General features: G+C 36.9%; 1 pseudogene; it reads right to left on the bottom strand.

Annotated features, from left to right (window-relative positions):
- Nucleotides 6,453-7,191, bottom strand: LOC101060164 (secretory carrier membrane protein 1 pseudogene; annotated as a pseudogene).

Below are 21,298 nucleotides of genomic sequence, written 5' to 3'. Positions count from 1 at the left end.
AGATTATATTCTAGAAAAATGTTGCTAATTAATGCTCCAAGTAACAATTAATAAGAGGGCCTATTTTTATGCACCAATCCTAAATATTATTATTAGAAAGTCTTTTCTAAGTTGGTTGATGAAAAACAGTATCTTACTGTAATTTTAAAGTTGCATTTATTGATTACTAGTGAGGATGAGTATTTTATATACATTTCTAGACAATTTGTTATTCTTGTGTGAATTGCCTGTTTGTGTTCCTCATAATAATTTTAATTTATGAAGATTATCGGTGCTTTGAGGGCAGAAATACATCTCATTTTTGCTGGAGCCTGTTTTCATCAGTGTTGCACCCTGGATCTAGCCCATGCTGGGACCTAAAAGTATTTGTAGAGTGAATGAATGAATGATAATCCACTATTATATTTTTACTGGTTATTAATAGAAGGGAATCAAATTAATTTTACACACATTTATTTAGTGAGCAAAGAATGCCATTTTCTCCAAAAAAAAGTTTTTCTCTGAAGAAATTTTAACTTCTTTTCAACAATAACACCATTTATAGCCTGAATGGATAAATACAAGATTGGACAGATTTGGCTATTTTCATGTTTTTTTTTTCTTTTTTTCTCAGTAACTGTCAGATTTTTCTATTCTTGCTAGCTATTTTGGAATACTAAGACGCAAATAGGGATTTGTTATCTCATTTCATTATAGAAAATGAAAGCACCAAAATAAAACATTTCAAATACTCGTCATTTCTGGAATATTCTACAAATTTGTGCTTTCTCTGGATTGCATTCCACAACTGAGACAATACTCAAACTTTTTTGAGCTTAATTGTACTTAAACTGATCTGCTTTTTTTTCTCCAGAATATTTTGTTTTCAGCACAACTTCTATTTTCATTGAATCTAGGGATATGAAAGTGACATATTATAGATGTAGAGTCTTTCCCACCATTGCAGTTACATATATATGAGTAGGTGTATGTATACACACAAACATACATATATATATATTTCTTTGGGCAAATTATTTTTCTTGTTAACTTTTCTCAAAAATCCTGTTACGAGAGAAAGAGGCCACAATTTTCTGAGGCAGCTGCTGGTGTCATACATACAAACATACTCTCTGATCTGCATTGTTTAAAAAACCCTTGTTTACCCTGCATCCCACTTCAGTTTCTGCTCCAGCTCCGCTCCTTTTAAAAGAAAGCTGATCTCCATTTATCACCCTTACTTCCCATTTTCTCCCCAAACTATTCCAAGTGGGCTTTGGTTTTGGCATTGCTACAGAAGCAGTTTTTCTAGATCTCCTACTTCTTCCTTTCCAGAGCAAGCGTAGAGCTAGTTAACACTTTTCCGGTGTTCCACAGCCTCTCCTGGGACTCTCTAGGGCTGGGAGCAGGCAGAATTAGCAGGCCGTGTCACACTGGTCAGGCACATTTGAACCCACTCACCAAAAATTCATCATCAGCCTGGCCAACATGGTGAAACCCCGTCTCTACTAAGAATACAAAAATTAGCTGGGCGTGGTGGCACGTGCCTGTAATCCTAGCTACTCAGGAGGCGGAGGCAGGAGAATCGCTTGAAACCATCCAGGAGGCGGAGGTTGCAGTGAGCCGAGATCGCGCCACTGCAGTCCAGCCTGGGCAACAGAGCGAGACTCTGTTTCAAAAAACTCCCCCAACAACCACAACAACAACAAAAAAATCATGATGTAGACATAGCTGTGGACTCTTGATTTCCATAGTGGAATTTGAGAAAGTGCTCCTGGTATTTAGTGAGCAGGGGCCAGGGATACTAAACCATTTGCAATATATAGGACAGTTTCACCAAAATAATAGATGAAATGGAGTTATCCTGCACTGTTATCAATTATACCCTCCTTGAAAAACAATTATCTATAGGAAGAAACTAATTCCCTAAAAACAAAAGTTGAGATTGCAGAAATCAGAAGACTGGACAGAGTTAAAGGGGAAAAGCAGATATTACAACCAGGAAAGACAACTGGGAAAATAATATATACCCAAATCTAACTATACTTAACAAAGGAATTAGAAAAGGGGAAGATGCTTTGTTGTTATTAGATCGGAAACTGTGGCAGTGGTCCAAAAAAATCTTGGGTAGAAAGAGAGGGGAAGATATGTGAGAGCAGACTGAATTGTCTGTAGACCATGCTGAGAAGCAGGATCCAAAAAAAAGCTGTTGAGAAGTAGCTCTTAAAGCTGAATGTGAAAAATTCATAATATAGACAATTGGGAACCCACTATCTTAAGGACTGAGACTGCTATTTTGAGTAGTTACAAACATTCTGGACAGATTATAGAGAAGAGTAGGAAGATCAGTAGAAAATACTGGAAGAATTACAAGGGAAGTATCAATATGACAGTTTTGGGTGAACTTCATGCTGGATAAATAAATGGAATAGACTTCTAAGGGAAGACATAGCAATAATGAGGCATATTATGGGGAACCAGGCAGGAATAGAAGAGAATGAGTCCTGTTTGATGGGGGACAATCACTTGAGTGGGATTGTTCTACTCAGAGAGGAGAATGTGAACAAACTATTTGAACCCTGCATTCAGATTGGGTCTCTGAAATCTAAAGCTATAGCCGTGATCAGAGTCTATGCAAAATAACAAATCCAGAATTAACCTGAAGCCATGTGTTGGGAGTAATTCTTATGAGATTATGGATATATGCTTCATGGGTCCAAGAGCCTATTCCCTCCACAGCACCACCCTTGGCCTTGAATGATGAACAAAATAAATAGAATTTTAGGCAGCTTATCCACATTGTCTCCTATGCCTGGCACACATTTTTAAAGCTAGAAGCTTGCATACACTAAAGCTCCCACAGAACTTAGCATCAGTTTATAATCCTGGACTGCAAGCCTGACTGCAAAACACAGAAAAACTAAAAAATAAGTTTAAATCCCTATCATCTAGAAGGCCTGTATCAAACGAGACTATTGTGGCCAACTTCTGTACGTTGAATTTGCCCCCTCTCCCCACCTTCCTCTCCCCGGCACATAGGCTGATGCCTGGAGTCCCTGTCTGTGTAACAGCTTCTTACCTCTGCATAGTGCTACCATAAGCAGATGTGAAATGAACAAGGTCAAAATCCCAAATGACCTACAGTTTAAGGTCATTCACTCAGACCATAGCAGGTAAAAACCAAACTCACATGGCATAAAACAGGTCACGGCCAGTCTCCAAGCTTAAAACCAAAACCAAGTTGTACCACAAAATCTTAAATTCCTCACATGGCCTAAATTTTTCATGGGCAATTTACTCCCCAAATTGCATTTATCTTTGCAATGCTCTTAACTGATGCACCAGATGTCTAGTATATACACGTGGTCCCAGGTATGTATTTCCCTGCGGTAGTTTCCTTGGGTATCTGGTTTTCATCCATTCTTTTAAACATGGCTCTTCTGATCTCCATCTCAGGAATTGTTTTTGATTCTTGAAAAAAGAGAGTTGAAACATTGGGCTGTTTTGACAACTTACATAGGATCCTCAAATTCTAGAACCACCATTGTTACAGTACTTTTCTAAATAAAGCCATAAATAATTAAAGCCAAATATTAAGTATATAATTTGAAAGCACATCATATAGAAAGAATACCTGTAATTCTATCATATGGAGATAGTAGTCAATAACCATTTATTTTCTTTAGAGATGTATAGACACATTATGTATATGTGTGTATGTATATACATATATTTTATAAAATTGTAATAGTTGACAATAGCATGTATTGACATTTTCTGGTTTTAAAATAAGAATATATTATTATGGTGTAAAATTTGTTAACAACCAGATGTTATTTATATGATATTTTCCCTTATTTGATATTTAGGCTGTTTCCCTTTTTAAAACAATTATTATAAACAACTCTTTAACATTATTTTTAATTCAAGGGGACAGTTAGTTCCACCTGTAGATATTTATTTTTCTATCCCAAAATTGTTAATCGTATTCTATTGAATAACCAATCCATCATATATGCACTGATTTGAAATATCTTTATCATGTACTAAATTCATATTTGTGTCTGGAATTTTTATCAGATTAGTGTTGTAATAAATTCATAGTCACTGACTTCAGCCAAGTCCTTATTACTTATTTGTATATCTTCATGCTTGGCTTCCACTTTTATTCTCCTCAGGTATTAGTTTGGAACTTCACTACAGTCAACGCTCCCTTTTAATCTTGGTGCTAGTCCTTTAACTTCATCATCAGTAAGATAAAGGCCACAGTGTGATCTCTGCAACACCTTTGTACTCATTTCCTAAGGCTGCCATAACCAAGAACCAAAACCTTGGTGGCTATGACAACAGAAATTTATGCTGTCACAGTTCTAGGGGTTAGAAGCTTGAAATCAAGGTATGAGCAGGGCCATGCTCCTTCTAAAACTTGTAGAGGAGAATTCTGTCTTGCCTCTTCCTAGCTTCTGGAAGCTCTTGGCAATCCATGGTCATTCTTTAGTTTGCAAATGCAACATTCCAATCTCTGCCTCAGTTGTCATGGCCATCATCCCTCATGTGTCTTCACATTGTCTTCCTTTTGTGTGTGTGTGTGTGTGTGTGTGTGTGTGTGTGTGTGTGTGTGTCCAAATTTCCCTCTTTTATAAAGATTGCAGTTGTATTGGATTAGGGGCCCACCAAACTCCAGTACATCATCTTCACAAATTACATCTGAAGCAGCCTGATTTCTGAATAGGTCACATTCTGAGGGAGTGGGGCTAGGACTTGAATATATATTTTGGGGGAACACAATTCAACCCATATAAATCTCTCCTCCAACCACACACTACCCACATCCGCTTTCATTTCACTCTCCTTCTCTGGTATCGAAGGATGATGCCTTCTTTCTGTTCAGGTTAATTTCATGTTTTTGTTCTTTATTCCAACGCCTTCTATGTGTTCTGAGACTTTGCTCTATCAACCAACCACTTTTTTTGGTATTTTAATCTTCTGCCTTTCCATTAAAAACTCCCCTGCATTCTGACAACACGTCACTCTTATGTCCCTTTCTTATCCCTCTCCTATTCAAAATACCAAAGTTATCCTTTCCTTGAACTTGAACCTCTGTTTAGTCATAATTACTTCTTTCTCTTATTCTTTATACATTAGGTCTCTTCACTTCTATCAAGGGCATTAATGCTTAGGGTTTTCATAAAGAATTGCCGCTGTTGTCTTTTGACATGAATCATTGCGTGTAGAGGGCAATTAAAGAAAATCAAGACTGAGTTAAGATGTAAATATTGATTCATTTTGATTTGATTTTTCTATATGGTGAGACATAGAGTCTAGTTTTATTCTTTTGCATATGGTTATCCAGTTTTCTCAGCATCATTTATAGAAGAGGCTACTCTCTCCTTATTGTATTTTCTTCCAAAATGGGTTGGCTGTAAGTGTGTGGATTGATATTTGGGCTCTCTATTCTGTTCCATTGTTTTTATGCAGTACCAGCTGATTTGTTGTCAGGTAGTGTGAGGCCTCCAGTTTTGTTCTTTTCGTTCAAGATGTCTTTGGCTATTTGGGGTCTTTTGTGGTTTCATATTAATTTTAGTACTTTTTTTTCTATTTCTGTGAGGAATGTCGTTTGTATTTTTGTAGGGATTGCACTGAATCTGTAAATCGCTTTGGGTAGTATGGTCATTTTAACAATATTGATTCTTCCAACCCATGGGCATAGAATATATTTTTATTTAAAAATAAAGCTACTACTAGACAAAAAAGCTATGAAGCTACTAGAACAAAACACTGGAGAAATGCTCCAGAACATTGATCTGGGCAAAGATATTTTGAGTAAGCCTCAAAAGCACACGAAATAAAATCAAAACTAAAATGGGATTACATAAAGCTCAAAAGCTTCTGCACAACAAAGAAAACAATCAAAAACTGAAAAGACAACCTACAGAATGAGAGAAAATGTTTTCAAACTATCCATCTGACAAGGAATTAATAACCAAAATATATAAGGCACTCAAACAACTCAATAGTAAAAAACCAAATAATTGAATAAAAAATGGGCAAAAGATCTGAACACATTTCTCAAAAGAAGACATACAAATGGCTAACAGATATATGAAAAAATGGTCACCACCACTAATTATCAGAGAACTGCAAATCAAAACCACAATGAGATATCATCTCACTCCAGTTAGAATGACTTTTACAAAAAAGACAGAGAATAGCAGATACTGGTGAGAATGTAGACAAAGGGGAACCCTTGTACACCATTAGTGGGAATGTTAATTAGTACCTTCTTTTTTCAAAAAGACATCTGCACTTGTATGTTTCTTGCAGCACTATTCACAATAGCAAAGTCATGGAATCAACCTAAATGTCCATCAATGGTAGACTGGATAAAGAAAATGTGGTATGTATACACCATGGAATATTACACAGCCCCCAAAATGAAATTATGTCCTTTGTAGCAACATAGATGCAGCTGGAGGCCATCATCTTTTAAAAACATAACTAGTGAGATGGCTGCTGATGCTGCGAAAAGTGCTGCTGTGATTATCATCCTGATTCCAATAGGAATATTTTGGTTGAGAACAGTAAGGGTTGAAACTCAACCACAATTACCCCAATTTCATATGCCTGGAATGCATGTACAGCAAACTAACAAATATAGACGAAGAAGAATACAAAGAGTCTGAATGAACTGCCACTCCTGAAAGCTCCATAAAGTGATCTGTACCAACAGACAAATTAACAAGGAGTAAAAAGCAAGAACCACAGGATACTCAAACTAAAATCAACCACTCTTGCAAAATCAACACAAAACCAAGACAAGCATCTGAAGATATTTAGAAATAGTGTTACAGCATGGAACATCCACAAGTAGTATATAAGCTTTACTGTCTTTTGGAATTCTATAGGAATGTCAACAGAAAAATCCTGATAGAAACAAGGTTCTATAGGAAAATTGCTAAGAAGAAGTGGCCAATTATTTTTTCTACCATGTTGAGTGAGGTTTTGCATTTCTCATTCCCGATGACTAATTCTGCATCTTTTCTTTCTACTTCTTCCTGGTGTTTAAGTTCAGCTTGGGCCAATGCATGTTTTTTTGCAATCAGCGTATAAACTGGATGTTTCTCTGTTGGTTTCATTATTGCTGGTTGTGTATTGGGTATGTTAGGCATCCTCACACTGCCTGGTGGAGGCTTGAAGGGACTGTTGAGATCCACTCCAAAAGAAAGGAAATCAATATATCAAAGAGATGTCTGCACCCCCATGTTTACTACAGCACTATTCACAATGCCCAAAATATAGAATCAACCTAAGTGCCAATCAATGGATAAATGAATAAGTAAAATGTGGTATATAAACAATATTATCTAGCCATAAAAAGAATAAAATCCTGTTATTTGCAGCAACATGAATGGAAGTGGAGGGCATTATGTTAAGTGAAATACACCAAGCACAGAAAGACAAATATAGCATGTTCTCACTCATATGTGTGAGCTAAAAAGGTGGAGCTCATGGAGATAGATAGATTTCCAGAGGCCAGGAAGGGTGGGAAAGGAGGGAATAAAGAGAGATTATTAATGGGTACAATTATACAGTTACTAATAGATAGAAGAAATAAGACCTGGTGTTTGATAGATCAGAAGGGTGACTATAGTTAACATTAGTCTATTAAACATTTCAAAATAGCTAGAAGAGAATAATTTGAATGTTCCTAGCATAAAGAAAAGCTAAACATTTAATGTGATGGATATCCTAATTACCCTGATTTGATTATATGAATGTATCAGATTATCACATGTACCCTGAAAATATGTACATCAATTATGTCTCAATAAAAATAATTTTTAAAAATATGTAAATGTTGGATAGTTGGCTCAAATCCTTCTTGAGTATCCAGTTTTTTTCCCCATGAACCTGACAGCGTTAGGTTAATATTCATGAATCAGGAGAATCATGATGGTGTGCCCTGGATGCTTGGAATGTCCTTAAATTGTGGTAACAGAGAATTTTAGATACATTATAAATAATTGTCTTGTCACACTAACCTTAAGCTAACAAAGATTTGAGAACTGGATTAAGTTATCTTTCTATCCCCAGGACCTAGCAAAGTTCGGAACCTATTAGGTGACCAATAAATATTTTTTGATGAACGGGATCATGGATAAGCAAATGATGTCTATTCTGAGATAGCTGGTGTTACAAGATGATTTGTCCATATAAAGATCTGTTTCACACATTGATTTCATTAATGCAGTACTTTAACCAGGAAACAGGCCATTCAAGGTAAAAGTTATATAACACAAAAGAAAATGGAATTTTCCAAACAGATATTCTGTGAAGCATTGTTCATATACTATAGAAGGTAAAAATAAATTACTTTTAAAAAAAGTGCTGTGTGCAAATAAGTTTGGGAAGGACTGAGCTTTTTTACCCCTTATTTATTTAGGTCTTTCACATCTTTATTATTTTATTAATATTATTTTTAAATTGATAGATAAAATTGTGTATATTTATGGTGTACAATATACATATGTTGTGGAATGACTAAATCTAGCTAGGAAGGTTTTTCTTTCAGTGCAGAAATTCTTAGAACTCACAAATTATTTAGATTTGCATTTGGCTGCATGTGACAGGGATCTGATTGCAAAGATAAAAACAAGTAGGAGTTTATTTTTCTTATGTAGAAAAATAAATGCAGACACAGTCATCCAGAATGGAATGTCAGTTCCAGGATGCCTCCAGTACGCAGTCTCCTTTCTGAATTCTCCTGCAGCCTCCCTGGCATAGTGTGGGGCTTTCTTTCTCATGCTCATACGGTGGCTGCTGCACTTCTAGGCAGGAAACACCTGAAAGAGTCCAGGGTGGAAAGTGGAGAACAGGAAATATGTTCCTTTATTTCTGGAAAGAAATATATTTTTCTCAGTTGTCCACTTAGTTAACTTGTGCTTATGTCTCACTGCCAGGAAATAATAGGTCATGCAGCTATCACTAGCTGTAAGTGAGTCTGGAATAAGCAATATTTTTAATTGATGCATTGCTGTCCTAAAGCAAAATCAAGGCTCTTTTAGTTAAGAAAGGAAGAGGGAATGGGTATTGGTCTGCCAACCAACAGTGTATAAAACTAAGGTGTATTGTGACTTCCTAAAAACGGGAATATAGTCTTATGTGTTATTTCTTCACCTTGTTTTTCAAGATCTCCTTTGAGAAGGCTTTACAGGCATTCTGGCAAGAATATAATTGACATCATGACCGGAAGGTGGCCTGTCACTGACTTTAACCTTCCCAGCATATAATTCTGTCCTCTCTTAGGTAAATAATCAGAGACATTAGCTTTTTTCAGACTGCATTTCTGAAGAATATGGGCCTTACTTTTCTTAGGTTACAATACTCTAGGAAGGTCTAGGTCAACTGATAAGGATGCTCCCATATCAGGGAATGATCTCAAGCAGGAACACATAAGGATCTATTTAAAGCGAACAAACAAACCCTAAATAGAGGTAATCCCTGCTCTGTCTGGCTTCTTAATTCTCACAGTGAACGAAGTAAGTAAACTGGAAAAAGTATCCGCCAAGATAGTTTTTGTCCAACTGAGGTGGGATTGATGGTGGCAATGGTCTCGATTTGCTTACTCCTTCCATTAAAGACACTGAGTCTATACTAGCCTTGGCATAAATCATGTGTGGAACCAACAGTGTGCCAGTTCTGAGCCCAGGTCTTTAGAGGCCCTGTGTTTTTCTTCTTGTTGCCTCTTGCTGCTCTCACTTTGCCATGAGAATAAGGCTGGATGAGCCTGCTGGTGAGCAGTCATGTGGAATAGAGCAAGATGGCACACGCTTGTGAGCAAGTTCATCCAGGGTTGACTGTTTAATTGCCCTACAGCTGGCAATAGACACATAACTAAGTCTTGATGAGCTCAGCTTCGATCAATAAAATGCTTAGTCAACCTAAAGACTTGTGAGTAAGAAGAGTTTATTGCCATATGCCAGGGGGATTTTGTGTTTTCTGTCATGGCTGTTACACGGCATTACTGTGGTAACAGATAACTGATACACTAACCCAGCTGAGAAGGGGTGTTGAACAAGTTGTGAATAAATTGGAGTGTCTGGAATACCATTACTGCTATTGTGTCTCTTCTCTGCATTTCTTGCCTGAACTTGTTTTGAAAATTGCATCCTAACTTGTATATGAATCTCCTGAATACTCTTTGCTCTTTATTTAGTATTATCTTTACCACATCTTTTGAATGTTGTAGGTAACATTACTCTTTTAAAAATAATTTTTATTTTCAAAAATAAATATTTTAAAATCATATAATAAGCACTTCTGTCTCACCACACAGAATGAGTAGTTCTTAACATTTTGCTATATTTGCTTCAAGTCTCCTGTTTTATGACAGCATAATCCTACATGTAAAGTTGTGACCCTCTAATCTCCCAACTCCCCAGTCTCATAACCCTTCTCATTCCTGGAGTCAGCCATTTGACAGATTTAGTGTAAATCCTGCCAATGCATTATAAAAATACATTAACATACTATGTTTATAAATAATTATTTTAAAATGTAGGTTTTATTATTATTTGGGTATGGTGAGGCCAACAGATCAGGACCCAACTGCCATTGAAAGGATAGTTTATTACAGTTCCCAAGGGGAGGGCTATACCTCACCATGCAGGGGCTACAAGGGGAAGCACCAAGGTCAGTCAGAAGTCAGAGAGAGCTAGGGGAAAACACGGGCAAAGTCTTTATTGTGGGTTCTGCAGAAAGAAACAGGTGAGGCAGGGTGAATAGGTTTAACATTGACTAATTTGAATAATTTCAGCTGGCTCAAGGGTATAGGGGTTTTCTCTAGTTGTCTGGTAGGCCCTGGGGTGATTAGGGCAGGGGAATGGTGGCCCTGAGTGAAAGAGCCCTATGGGGGCCATATAAAGGAGGTGACGGTGGGGGGTCTGGGCTCTGGATTGGTTGGTTTGCAAAGGAAAAGTACACTCACAGGAAAGTCTTTTACTGTCTCTAGCAACTAGCTAGCCCTAGGAGGGCCAGTTTCTTCGGGGTCAGCAGAGCCCCCATCGTGTCATAGCATCAGAAATATAGAAAATAAAAAAAAAAGGATTACTACAACATTGCATATCTATAAATAAGGTATTACATTCCATGCATTTTTAATAGACTATTTTTAGAGAAGTTTCAGGGTCACAGAAAATTGAGTGGTAGGTATAGAGACTTCCCATATACCTTCTGTCCTCTACAGGTTCATCAACTTCCACATTATTAACATCCCCTATGAGAGTGGTATGTTTGTTACAATTGGTGAACCTACATTGACACATCATTATCTTCCAAAGTGTGTAGTTGACATTAGAGTTCCCTCTTGGTATTGTACATTCCATGGGTTTGAACAAATATATCATGATGTTTCCACCGTTGTAGTATCATACAGATTAGTTGCACTTTCCTAAAAATCCTCTGTGCTCTGCCTATTTGTCTCTCCCTCTCCGCCTCAATCCCCTAACAACCACTGATCTTTTTATTGTCTCGTAATTTTCTCTTTTCCAGAATGTCATGTAGTAGGAATTACACAATATATACCCTTTTCACGTTGGCTTTTTTCACTTAGTAATATGCTTTTAAGATTCTTCCGTGTTTTCATGGCTTGATAACTTGTTTTCTTTTAGTGCAGATAATATTTCATTGTCTGGATATACCATCTTTTTATCCATTCACCTTTTTAAAAACCTTTTGATTGCTTCCAAGTTTTGGCAATGATAAATAAAGCTTCAATAAACATTTGTGTGCAGGTTTTTGTGTAGGCATAAGTTTTCAACTTCTTTGGGCAAGTACTAAGGAGTGTGATTATTGATTGTCTAGTAACTGTATACTTAATTTTGTTAGAAACCACCAGAACGCTATCCAAAGTAGCTGTACCATTTTATATTCCCACTAGCAATGAAGGAGAGCTCCTGTTGATCCATATCCTCACCAGCCTTTGTTGTTGTCAGTGTTCTATATTTTTGACATTTGAATAGGTGTGTAGTGGTATTTTATTGCTGTTATAATTTGCATTTCCCTGGTGACATGGGGTGTAAATCATCTTTTGAGATGCTATTTAGCATCTGTATATTTTCTTTAATGAGGTGTCTCTTAAGGTCTTTGGCCCATTTTTAATTGTGTTGTTTCTTTTCTTTCTTATTGTTGAATTTAATGAGTCTTTTGTGTTTTTTGGTTAACAGTCTTACCAGATGTGTCTTTTGCAGATATTCCTTCCAGTCTGTGGCTTGTCTTCTTAGTCTCTTAACATTGTCTTTTGCGGAGCAGAAGTTTTTAATTTTAGTGAGGTCTAGCTTATTAATCATTTCTTTCATGAATTGTGCCTTCGGTACAATATATAAAAAGTTATTGCCATACCTGACGTCATCAAAGTCTCCTACATTGTCTTCTGAGAGCTTTATAATTTTATACTTTACATTTAGGTCTATGATGCATTTAGAGTTAATTTTTGTAAAGGGTGTAAGGTCTGTGTCTAGATTCATTTTTTTTTCTTTCTGCATGTGGATGTCCAATTGTTTCAGCACCATTTGTTGAAAATTACTCTTTGCTCCATTGTATTGCCTTTACTCCTTTGTCAAAATCAGTTGACTATATTTATATGGGCCTATTTCTGGACTCTATTCTTTCCCATTGATTTATTTGTCTAGTCTTTAGCCAGTACTAAACTGTCTTGATTACTTTAGCTTCATAGTAAGCTTTGAGGTTGGGTAGTGTCAGTCTTCCCAATTTGTTCTTGCGTTGTGTGCATTTTAAAACCTTATATACCTTTTTCCTTTTGTTTAATTCAAAGGTAAAAACAGTATGTTTTTTAAGAAATTTTTTATTTCCATACGTTTTTAGGGAAACAGGGGTATCTGGAACATACAATGTTTGGGTTTCCATTCCTGGAGTTACTTCACTTAGAGTAGTAGTCTCCAATCCCAACAAGGTTGCTGTGAATGCCACTAATTCATTCATTTTTATGACTCAGTAGAATTTCATCATATATATTTACCACAGTTTCTTTATCCACTTGTTGATTGATGGGCATTTTGGTTGGTTCCACAGTTTTGCAATTGCAAATTGTGCTGCTATAAACATACATGCACAACTGTCTTTCATATGATGACTCTTTTTCCTCTGGGAGATACTCAGTAGTGGGATTGCTGGATCAAATGGTAGTTCTACTTACAGTTCTTTAAGGAATCATCACACTGTTTTCCGTAGTGGTTGTACTGGTTTACATTCCTACCAGCAGTGTAGAAATGTTCCCTTTTCAATGCATCCATGACAATATTCATTATTTTTTTATTTTTGGATTATGGCCATTCTTGTAGGAGTAAGTTGGTAGTGCATTGTGGTTTTAATTTGCATTTCCCTGATCATTAGTGATATTGAGCATTTTTTATGTGCTTGTTGGTCATTTGTATATCTTCTTTTGAGAATTGTCTACTCATGTCCTTAGCCCCCTTTTTGAGGGATTGTTTTTTTCTTGCTGATTTGTTAGAGTTCCTTGTAGATTCTGGATATTAGTCCTTTGTTGGATGTATAGATTGTGAAGATTTCTTCGACTCTGTGGGTTGTCTGTTTACTCAGCTGACTGTTCCTTTTGCCGTGCAAAAGCTCTTCAGTTAAATTAAGTCCCAGCTAGTCCCATCTATTTATCCTTGTTTTTATTGCATTTGCTTATGGGTTCTTGGTCATAAAATCCTTGCCTAAGCCAGGCTCTAGAAGGGTTTTTCCAATGTCATCTTCTAGAATTGTTATAGTTTCACATCTTAGATTTAAGTCCTTAATCCATCTCAAGTTGATTTTTATATAAGGTGAGAGATGAGGATCCAGTTTCATTCTCCTACACGTGGCTTGCCAATTATACTAGCACCATTGGTTGAATAGGGTGTTCTTTCCCCACTTTATGTTTTTGTTTGCTTTGTCAAAGATCAGTTGGCTGTAAGTATTTGGCTTTATTTCTGGGTTCTCTATTCTGTTCCATTGGTCTATGGGCCTCTTTTTATACCAGTACCATGCTGTTATAGTGGCTATGGCCTTATAGTATAGTCTGAAATCAGGCACTGTGATGCCTCCAGATTTGTTCTTTTTGCTTAGTCTCGCTTTCGCTATGAGGGCTCTTTTTTGGTTCCATATACATTTTAGGATTGTTTTTTCTAGTTCCATGATGAATGATGGTGTTATTTTGATGAGAATTGCCTGAATTTGTAGATTGCTTTTGGCAGTATGGCCATTTTCACAATATTGATTCTACCCAACCATGAGCATGGGATGAGTTTCCATTTCGTTCTGTCCTCTGTGATTTCTTTCAGTAGTTTTTTGTAGTTTTCCTTGCATAGGTCTTTCATGTCCTTGATTAGGTATATTCCTAAGTATTTATTTTATTTTTGCAGCTATTGTAAAAGCTGTTGAGTTCTTGATTTGATTCTCAGCTTTGTTGCTGTTGATGTATAGGAGTTACCGATTTGTGTACATTAATTTGGTATACTGAAACTTTGCCGAATTCTTTTATTAGTTCTAGCAGCTTTTTGAATGAATCTTTAGGGTTTTCTAGGTATATAATCAAATCAACAGCAAATAGTGACAGTTTGACTTACTCTTTACTGATTTGGATGCCCTTTATTCCTTCCTCTTGTCTAATAGCTTTGGCTAGGTCTTCCAGTACTATGCTGAATAGAAGTGGTGAGAATGGGCATCCTTGTCTTCTTTCAGTTCTCAGAAGGAATGCTATCAACATTTCCCCATTCAGTATTATGTTGGCTGTGGGTTTGTCATAGATGGCTTTTATTATATTGAGATATGTCTCTTGTATGCTGATTTTGCTGAAAATTTTAATCATAAAGAGACACTGGATTTTGTCAAATGCTTTTTCTGTATTTATTGAGATGATCATGTAATTTTTGTTTATAATTCTCTTTATGTGGTGTAGCACATTTAGTGACTTGCATATGTTAAACCATCCCTGCATTCCTGTTATGAAACCCATTTGATCATGGTGGTTTACCTTTTTAATATGTTGCTGGATTCAGTTAGCTAGTATTTTTTAAAGAATTTTTGCATGTATGTTCATCAGGGATATTGGTCCGTAGTTTTCTTTTTTGGTTTTGTCCTTTCCTGGTTTTGGTATTAGGGTGATACTGGCTTCATAGAATGATTTGGGGAGGATACCCTTTCTCTATCTTGCGGAATAGTGTCAATAGGATTGGGACGAATTCTTCTTTGAATGTCTGACATAATTCAGCTGTGAATTTGTCTGGTCCTGGACTTTTTTTTTATTGGTAATTTTTTTATTACCATTTCAAACTTGCTGCTTGTTATTGGTCTGTTCAGGGTATCTAATTCTTCCTGATTTAAGCTAGAAGGGTTGTAACATTTCAGGAATTTATTCATCTCCTCCAGGTTTTCTAGTTTATGCATGTATAGGTGTTCATGGTAATCTTGAATGATCTTTTGTATATCTGTGGCTTCAGTTTTAATGTCTTCCCTTTTGTTTCTAATTCAGCGTATTTGGAATGTCTCTCTTCTTGATTAATCTTGGTAATGCTCTATCAGTTTTTTATCTTTTATTTTATTTTATTATTATTATACTTTAAGTTTTAGGGTACATGTGCACAATGTGCAGTTTAGTTACATATGTATACATGTGCCATGCTGGTGTGCTGCACCCATTAACTCATCATTTAGCATTAGGAATATCTCCTAAAGCTAGCCCTCCCCCCTCCCCCCACCCCACAACAGTCCCCAGAGTGTGATGTTCCCCTTCCTGTGTCCATGTGTTCTCATTGTTCAGTTCCCACCTATGAGTGAGAATATGCAGTGTTTGGTTTTTTGTTCTTGCGACAGTTTACTGAGAATGATGATTTCCAATTTCATCCATGTCCCTACAAAGGACATGAACTCATTATTTTTTATGGCTGCATAGTATTCCATGGTGTATATGTGACACATTTTCTTAATCCAGTCTATCATTGTTGGACATTTGGGTTGGTTCCAAGTCTTTGCTATTGTGAATAGTGCCGCAAAAAACATATGTGTGCATGTGTCTTTATAGCAGCATGATTTATAATCCTTTGGCTATATACCCAGTAATGGGATGGCTGGGTCAAATGGTATTTCTAGTTCTAGATCCCTGAGGAATTGCCACACTGACTTCCACAATGGTTGAACTAGTTTACAGTCCCACCAACAGTGTAAAAGTGTTCCTATTTCTCCACATCCTCTCCAGCACCTGTTGTTTCCTGACATTTTAATGACTGCCATTCTAACTGGTGTGAGATGGTATCTCATTGTGGTTTTGATTTGCATTTCTCTGATGGCCAGTGATGGTGAGCATTTTTTCATGTGTTTTTTGGCTGCATAAATGTCTTCTTTTGAGAAGTGTCTGTTCATGTCCTTCACCCACTTTTTGATGGGGTTGTTTGTTTTCTTCTTGTAAATTTGTTTGAGTTCATTGTAGATTCTGGATATTAGCCCTTTGTCAGATGAGTAGGTTGTGAAAATTTTCTCCCATTTTGTAGGTTGCCTGTTCACTCTGATGGTAGTTTCTTTTGCTGTGCAGAAGCTCTTTAGTTTAATTAGATCCCATTTGTCAATTTTGGCTTTTGTTGCCATTGCTTTTGGTGTTTTAGACATGAAGTCCTTGCCCATGCCTATGTCCTGAATGGTAATGCCTAGGTTTTCTTCTAGGGTTTTTATGGTTTTAGTTCTAACGTTTAAGTCTTTAATCCATCTTGAATTAATTTCTGTATAAGGTGTAAGGAAGGGATCCAGTTTCAGCTTTCTACATATGGCTAGCCAATTTTCCCAGCACCATTTATTAAATAGGGAATCCTTTCCCCATTGCTTGTTTTTCTCAGGTTTGTCAAAGATCAGATAGCTGTAGATATTCAGCGTTATTTCTGAGGGCTCTGTTCTGTTCCATTGATCTATATCTCTGTTTTGGTACCAGTACCATGCTGTTTTGGTTACTGTAGCCTTGTAGTATAGTTTGAAGTCAGGTAGTGTGATGCCTCCAGCTTTGTTCTTTTGGCTTCGGATTGACTTGGTGATGCGGGCTCTTTTTTGGTTCCATATGAACTTTAAAGTAGTTTTTTCCAATTCTGTGAAGAAAGTCATTGGTAGCTTGATGGGGATGGCATTGAATCTATAAATTACCTTGGGCAGTATGGCCATTTTCACAATATTGGTTCTTCCTATCCATGAGCATTGAATGTTCTTCCATTTCTTTGTATCCTCTTTTATTTCATTGAGAAGTAGTTTGTAGTTCTGCTTGAAGAGGTCCTTCACGTCCCTTGTAAGTTGGATTCCTAGGTATTTTATTCTCTTTGAAGCAATTGTGAATGGGAGTTCACTCATGATTTGGCTCTCTGTTTGTCTGTTATTGGTGTATAAGAATGCTTGTGATTTTTGTACATTGATTTTGTATCCTGAGACTTTGCTGAAGTTGCTTATCAGCTTAAGGAGATTTTGGGCTGAGACAATGGGGTTTTCTAGATATACAATCATGTCATCTGCAAACAGGGACAATTTGACTTCCTCTTTTCCTAATTGAATACCCTTTATTTCCTTCTCCTGCCTAATTTCCCTGACCAGAACTTCCAACACTATGTTGAATAGGAGTGGTGAGAGAGGGCATCCCTGTCTTGTGCCAGATTTCAAAGGGAATGCTTCCAGTTTTTGCCCATTCAAAGAAAAGAGAGAAGAATCAAATAGATGCAATAAAAAATGATAAAGGGGATATCACCACCGATCCCACAGAAATACAAACTTCCATCAGAGAATACTACAAACACCTCTATGCAAATAAACTAGAAAATCTAGATGAAATGGATAAATTCCTCGACACATACACCCTCCCAAGACTAAACCAGGAAGAAGTTGACTCTCTGAATAGACCAATAACAGGATCTGAAATTGTGGCAATAATCAATAGCTTACCAACCAAAAAGAGTCCGGGCCCAGATGGATTCACAGCCGAATTCTACCAGAGGTACAAGGAGGAACTGGTACCATTCCTTCTGAAACTATTCCAATCAATAGAAAAACAGGGAATCCTCCCTAACTCATTTTATGAGGCCAGCATCATCCTGATACCAAAGCCGGGCAGAGACACAACCAAAAAAGACAATTTTAGACCAATATCCTTAATGAACATTGATGCAAAAATCCTCAATAAAATACTGGCAAACCGAATCCAGCAGCACATCAAAAAGCTTATCCACCATGATCAAGTGGGCTTCATCCCTGGGATGCAAGGCTGGTTCAATATACGCAAATCAATAAATGTAATCCAGGATATAAACAGAACCAAAGACAAAAACCACATGATTATCTCAATAGATGCAGAAAAGGCCTTTGACAAAATTCAACAATGCTTCATGCTATAAACTCTTAATAAATTAGGCATTGATGGGACGTATCTCAAAATAATAAGAGCTATCTAAGACAGTTTTTTATCTTTTCAAAGAATCAGCTTTTTGTTTCATTTATCTTTTGTATTTTGTTTGTTTGTTTCAATTTCACTTAGTTCTGCTCTGATCTTGGTTATTTCTTTTTTTCTGGTGGATTTGGGTTTGGTTGGTTCTTGTTTCTCTAGTTCCTTGAGATGTGACCTTACATTGTCTATTTGTGCTCTTTCAGACTTTTTAATATAGGCATTTAGGGATAGGAACTTTCCTCTTAGCACCACCTTTGCTGTATCCCAGAGGTTTACATAGGTTGTGTCACTATTGATGTTCAGTTTGAAGAATTTTTAAATTTCCATCTTGATTTCATTGTTGATGAAATGATCATTCAAGATCAGGTTATTTAATTTCCATGTATTTACATGGTTTTGAAGGTTCCTTTGGAGTTGATTTCCAGTTTTATTCTACCATGGTCTGAGAGTACTTGATGTAGTTTCAATTTTTAAAAAATTTATTGAGGCTGGTTTTGTGGCCTATCATATGGTCTATCTTGGAGAAAGTTCCTTGTGCTGATGATAGAATGTATATTCTGTGGTTGTTGTGTAAAATATTCTGTAAATATCTGTTAAGTCCATTTGTTCCAGGGTGTACTTTAAATCCTTTGTTTCTTTATTGACTTTCTGTCTTGATGACCTATTTAGTGCTGTCAGTGCAGTATTAAAGTCCCCCACTATTACTGTGTTGGTGTCTGTCTCATTTCTTAGGTCTAGTAGTAATTGTTTTATAAATTTGGGTTCTCCAGTGTTAGGTGCATATATATTTAGGACTGTGATATTTTCCTGTTGGACAAGGTCTTTTATCATTATATAATGTCCCTCTTTGTTCTTTTTAACTGCTGTTGCTTTAAGGTTTGTTTTGTCTGATATAAGAATAGCTACCTCTGCTTGCTTTTGGTGTCCATTTGCATGGAATGTCTTTTTCCACTCTTTTACCTTAAGTTTATTTGCGTCCTTATGTGTTAGATGAGTCTCTTGAATGCAGCAGATAGTTTGGTTGGTGAATTCTTATACATTTTGCCATTCCATATGTTTTAAATGGAACATTTAGGCTATTTACATTCAGTGTTAGTATTGAGATGTGAGGTACTATTCCATTCATCATGCTATTTGTTGCCTGTATACCTTAGGTTTTTTTTTTTTAATTGTATTTTTGTTTTGTAGGTTCTGTGAGATTTATGCTTCAAAGAGGTTCTATTTTGATGTGTTTCCAGAATTTGTTTCAAGATTTAGAGCTCCTTTTAGCAGTTCTTGTAGTGATGGATTGGTAGTAGCAAATTCTCTCAGCATTCGTTTGTCTGAAAAAGACTGTTATCTTTCCTTCATTTATGAAGCTTAGTTTTGCTGAATACAAAATTGTTGGCTCATAATTGTTCTGCTTAAGGAGGCTGAAGATAGGGCCCCAATCTAGCTTGTAAGGTTTCTGCTGAGAAATCTGCTGTTAATCTGATAGGTTTTCCTTGGTTACCTGATGCTTTTGCCTCACAGCTCTTAATATTATTTCCTTTGTCTTAACTTTAGATAACCTGATGACAATGTACCCAGGTGATGATTTTTTGTAGTGATTTTCCCAGGTGTTCTTTGAGCCTCTTGTTTTTGGATGTCTAGATCTCTAGCTAGACTGGGGAAATTTTCCTTGATTAATCCCCCAAAGATGTTTTCCAAACTTTTAGATTTCTCTTCTTCCTCAGGAATGCCAGTTATTCTTAGGTTTGGTCATTTAACATAGTCCCAAACTTCTTGGAAGCTTTTTTCATTTGCCTTATTCCTTTATCTTTGACTTTGTTGGATTGAGTTAATTCAAAAACCTTGTCTTCAAGCTCTGAAGCTCTTTCTCCTGCTTGTTCGATTCTATTGTTGAGACTTTTCAGAACATTTCGCATTTCTCTAAGAGTGTCAATATTTCCTGAAGTTTTAATTGTTTTTAATTTATGCTATCTATTTCACTGAAGATTTCTTCCCTCATTTCTTGTATCATTTTTTTGATTTCCTTAAATTAGACTTTACCTTTCTCTGGTGCCTCCTTGATTAGCTTAATAACTGACCTTCTGGATTGTTTTTCAGGTAAATCAGGGATTTCTTCTTGGTTTGGATCCATTGCTGGTGAGCTAGTGTGATTTTTTTAGGGGGCTGTTAAAGAACCTTGTTTTGTCATGTTACCAGAATTGTTTTTGTGGGTCCTTCTCATTTGGGTAGGCTCTGTCAGAGGGAAGGTCTAGGGCTCAAGGCTGCTGTTCTGACTCTTTTGTCCCACAGGTGTTCCCTTGATGTAGTACTCTCCTGGCTTTCCTAGGAATGTGGCTTTCTGAGAGCTGAGCTGTAGTGATTGTTATCTCTTTTCTGGATCTAGTCACCTAGCAGGTCTACCAGGCTCTGGGCTGGTACTGGGGGTTGTCTGCACAGAGTCCTGTGATGTGTACCATCTGCAGGTGTCAGGAACAAAATGAACTCTACGAGGGTCCTTAGCTTTTGTTGTTTAATGCACTATATTTGTGCTGGTTGGCCTCCTGCTAGAAGGTGGTGCTTTCAAGAAAACATCAGCTGTGGTAGTATAGGGAGGGTCAGGCAGTGGGTAGGGCCCTAGAACTCCCAAGAGTATATGCCCTTTGTCTTCAGCGACCAGGGTGGGTAGGGAAGGACCATCAGGTGGGGGCAGAGCTAGGCGTGTCTGAGCTCAGACTCTCCGCTTGGGTGGGTCTTGCCACAGCTGCTGTGGGGGATGGGGATGTGGTTCCCAGGTCAAAGGAGTTATGTTTTCAGGATGACTATGGCTGCCTTTGCTTTGTCATGCAGGTTGACAGAAAAGTGGGAAAAAGCCGGCAGTCACAG

Source organism: Homo sapiens, chromosome 1 (genome assembly GCF_000001405.40).
Source record: "Homo sapiens chromosome 1, GRCh38.p14 Primary Assembly".
NCBI classification, from domain to species: Eukaryota; Metazoa; Chordata; class Mammalia; order Primates; family Hominidae; genus Homo; species Homo sapiens.
This window is presented reverse-complemented; position numbering and strand designations above follow the sequence as displayed.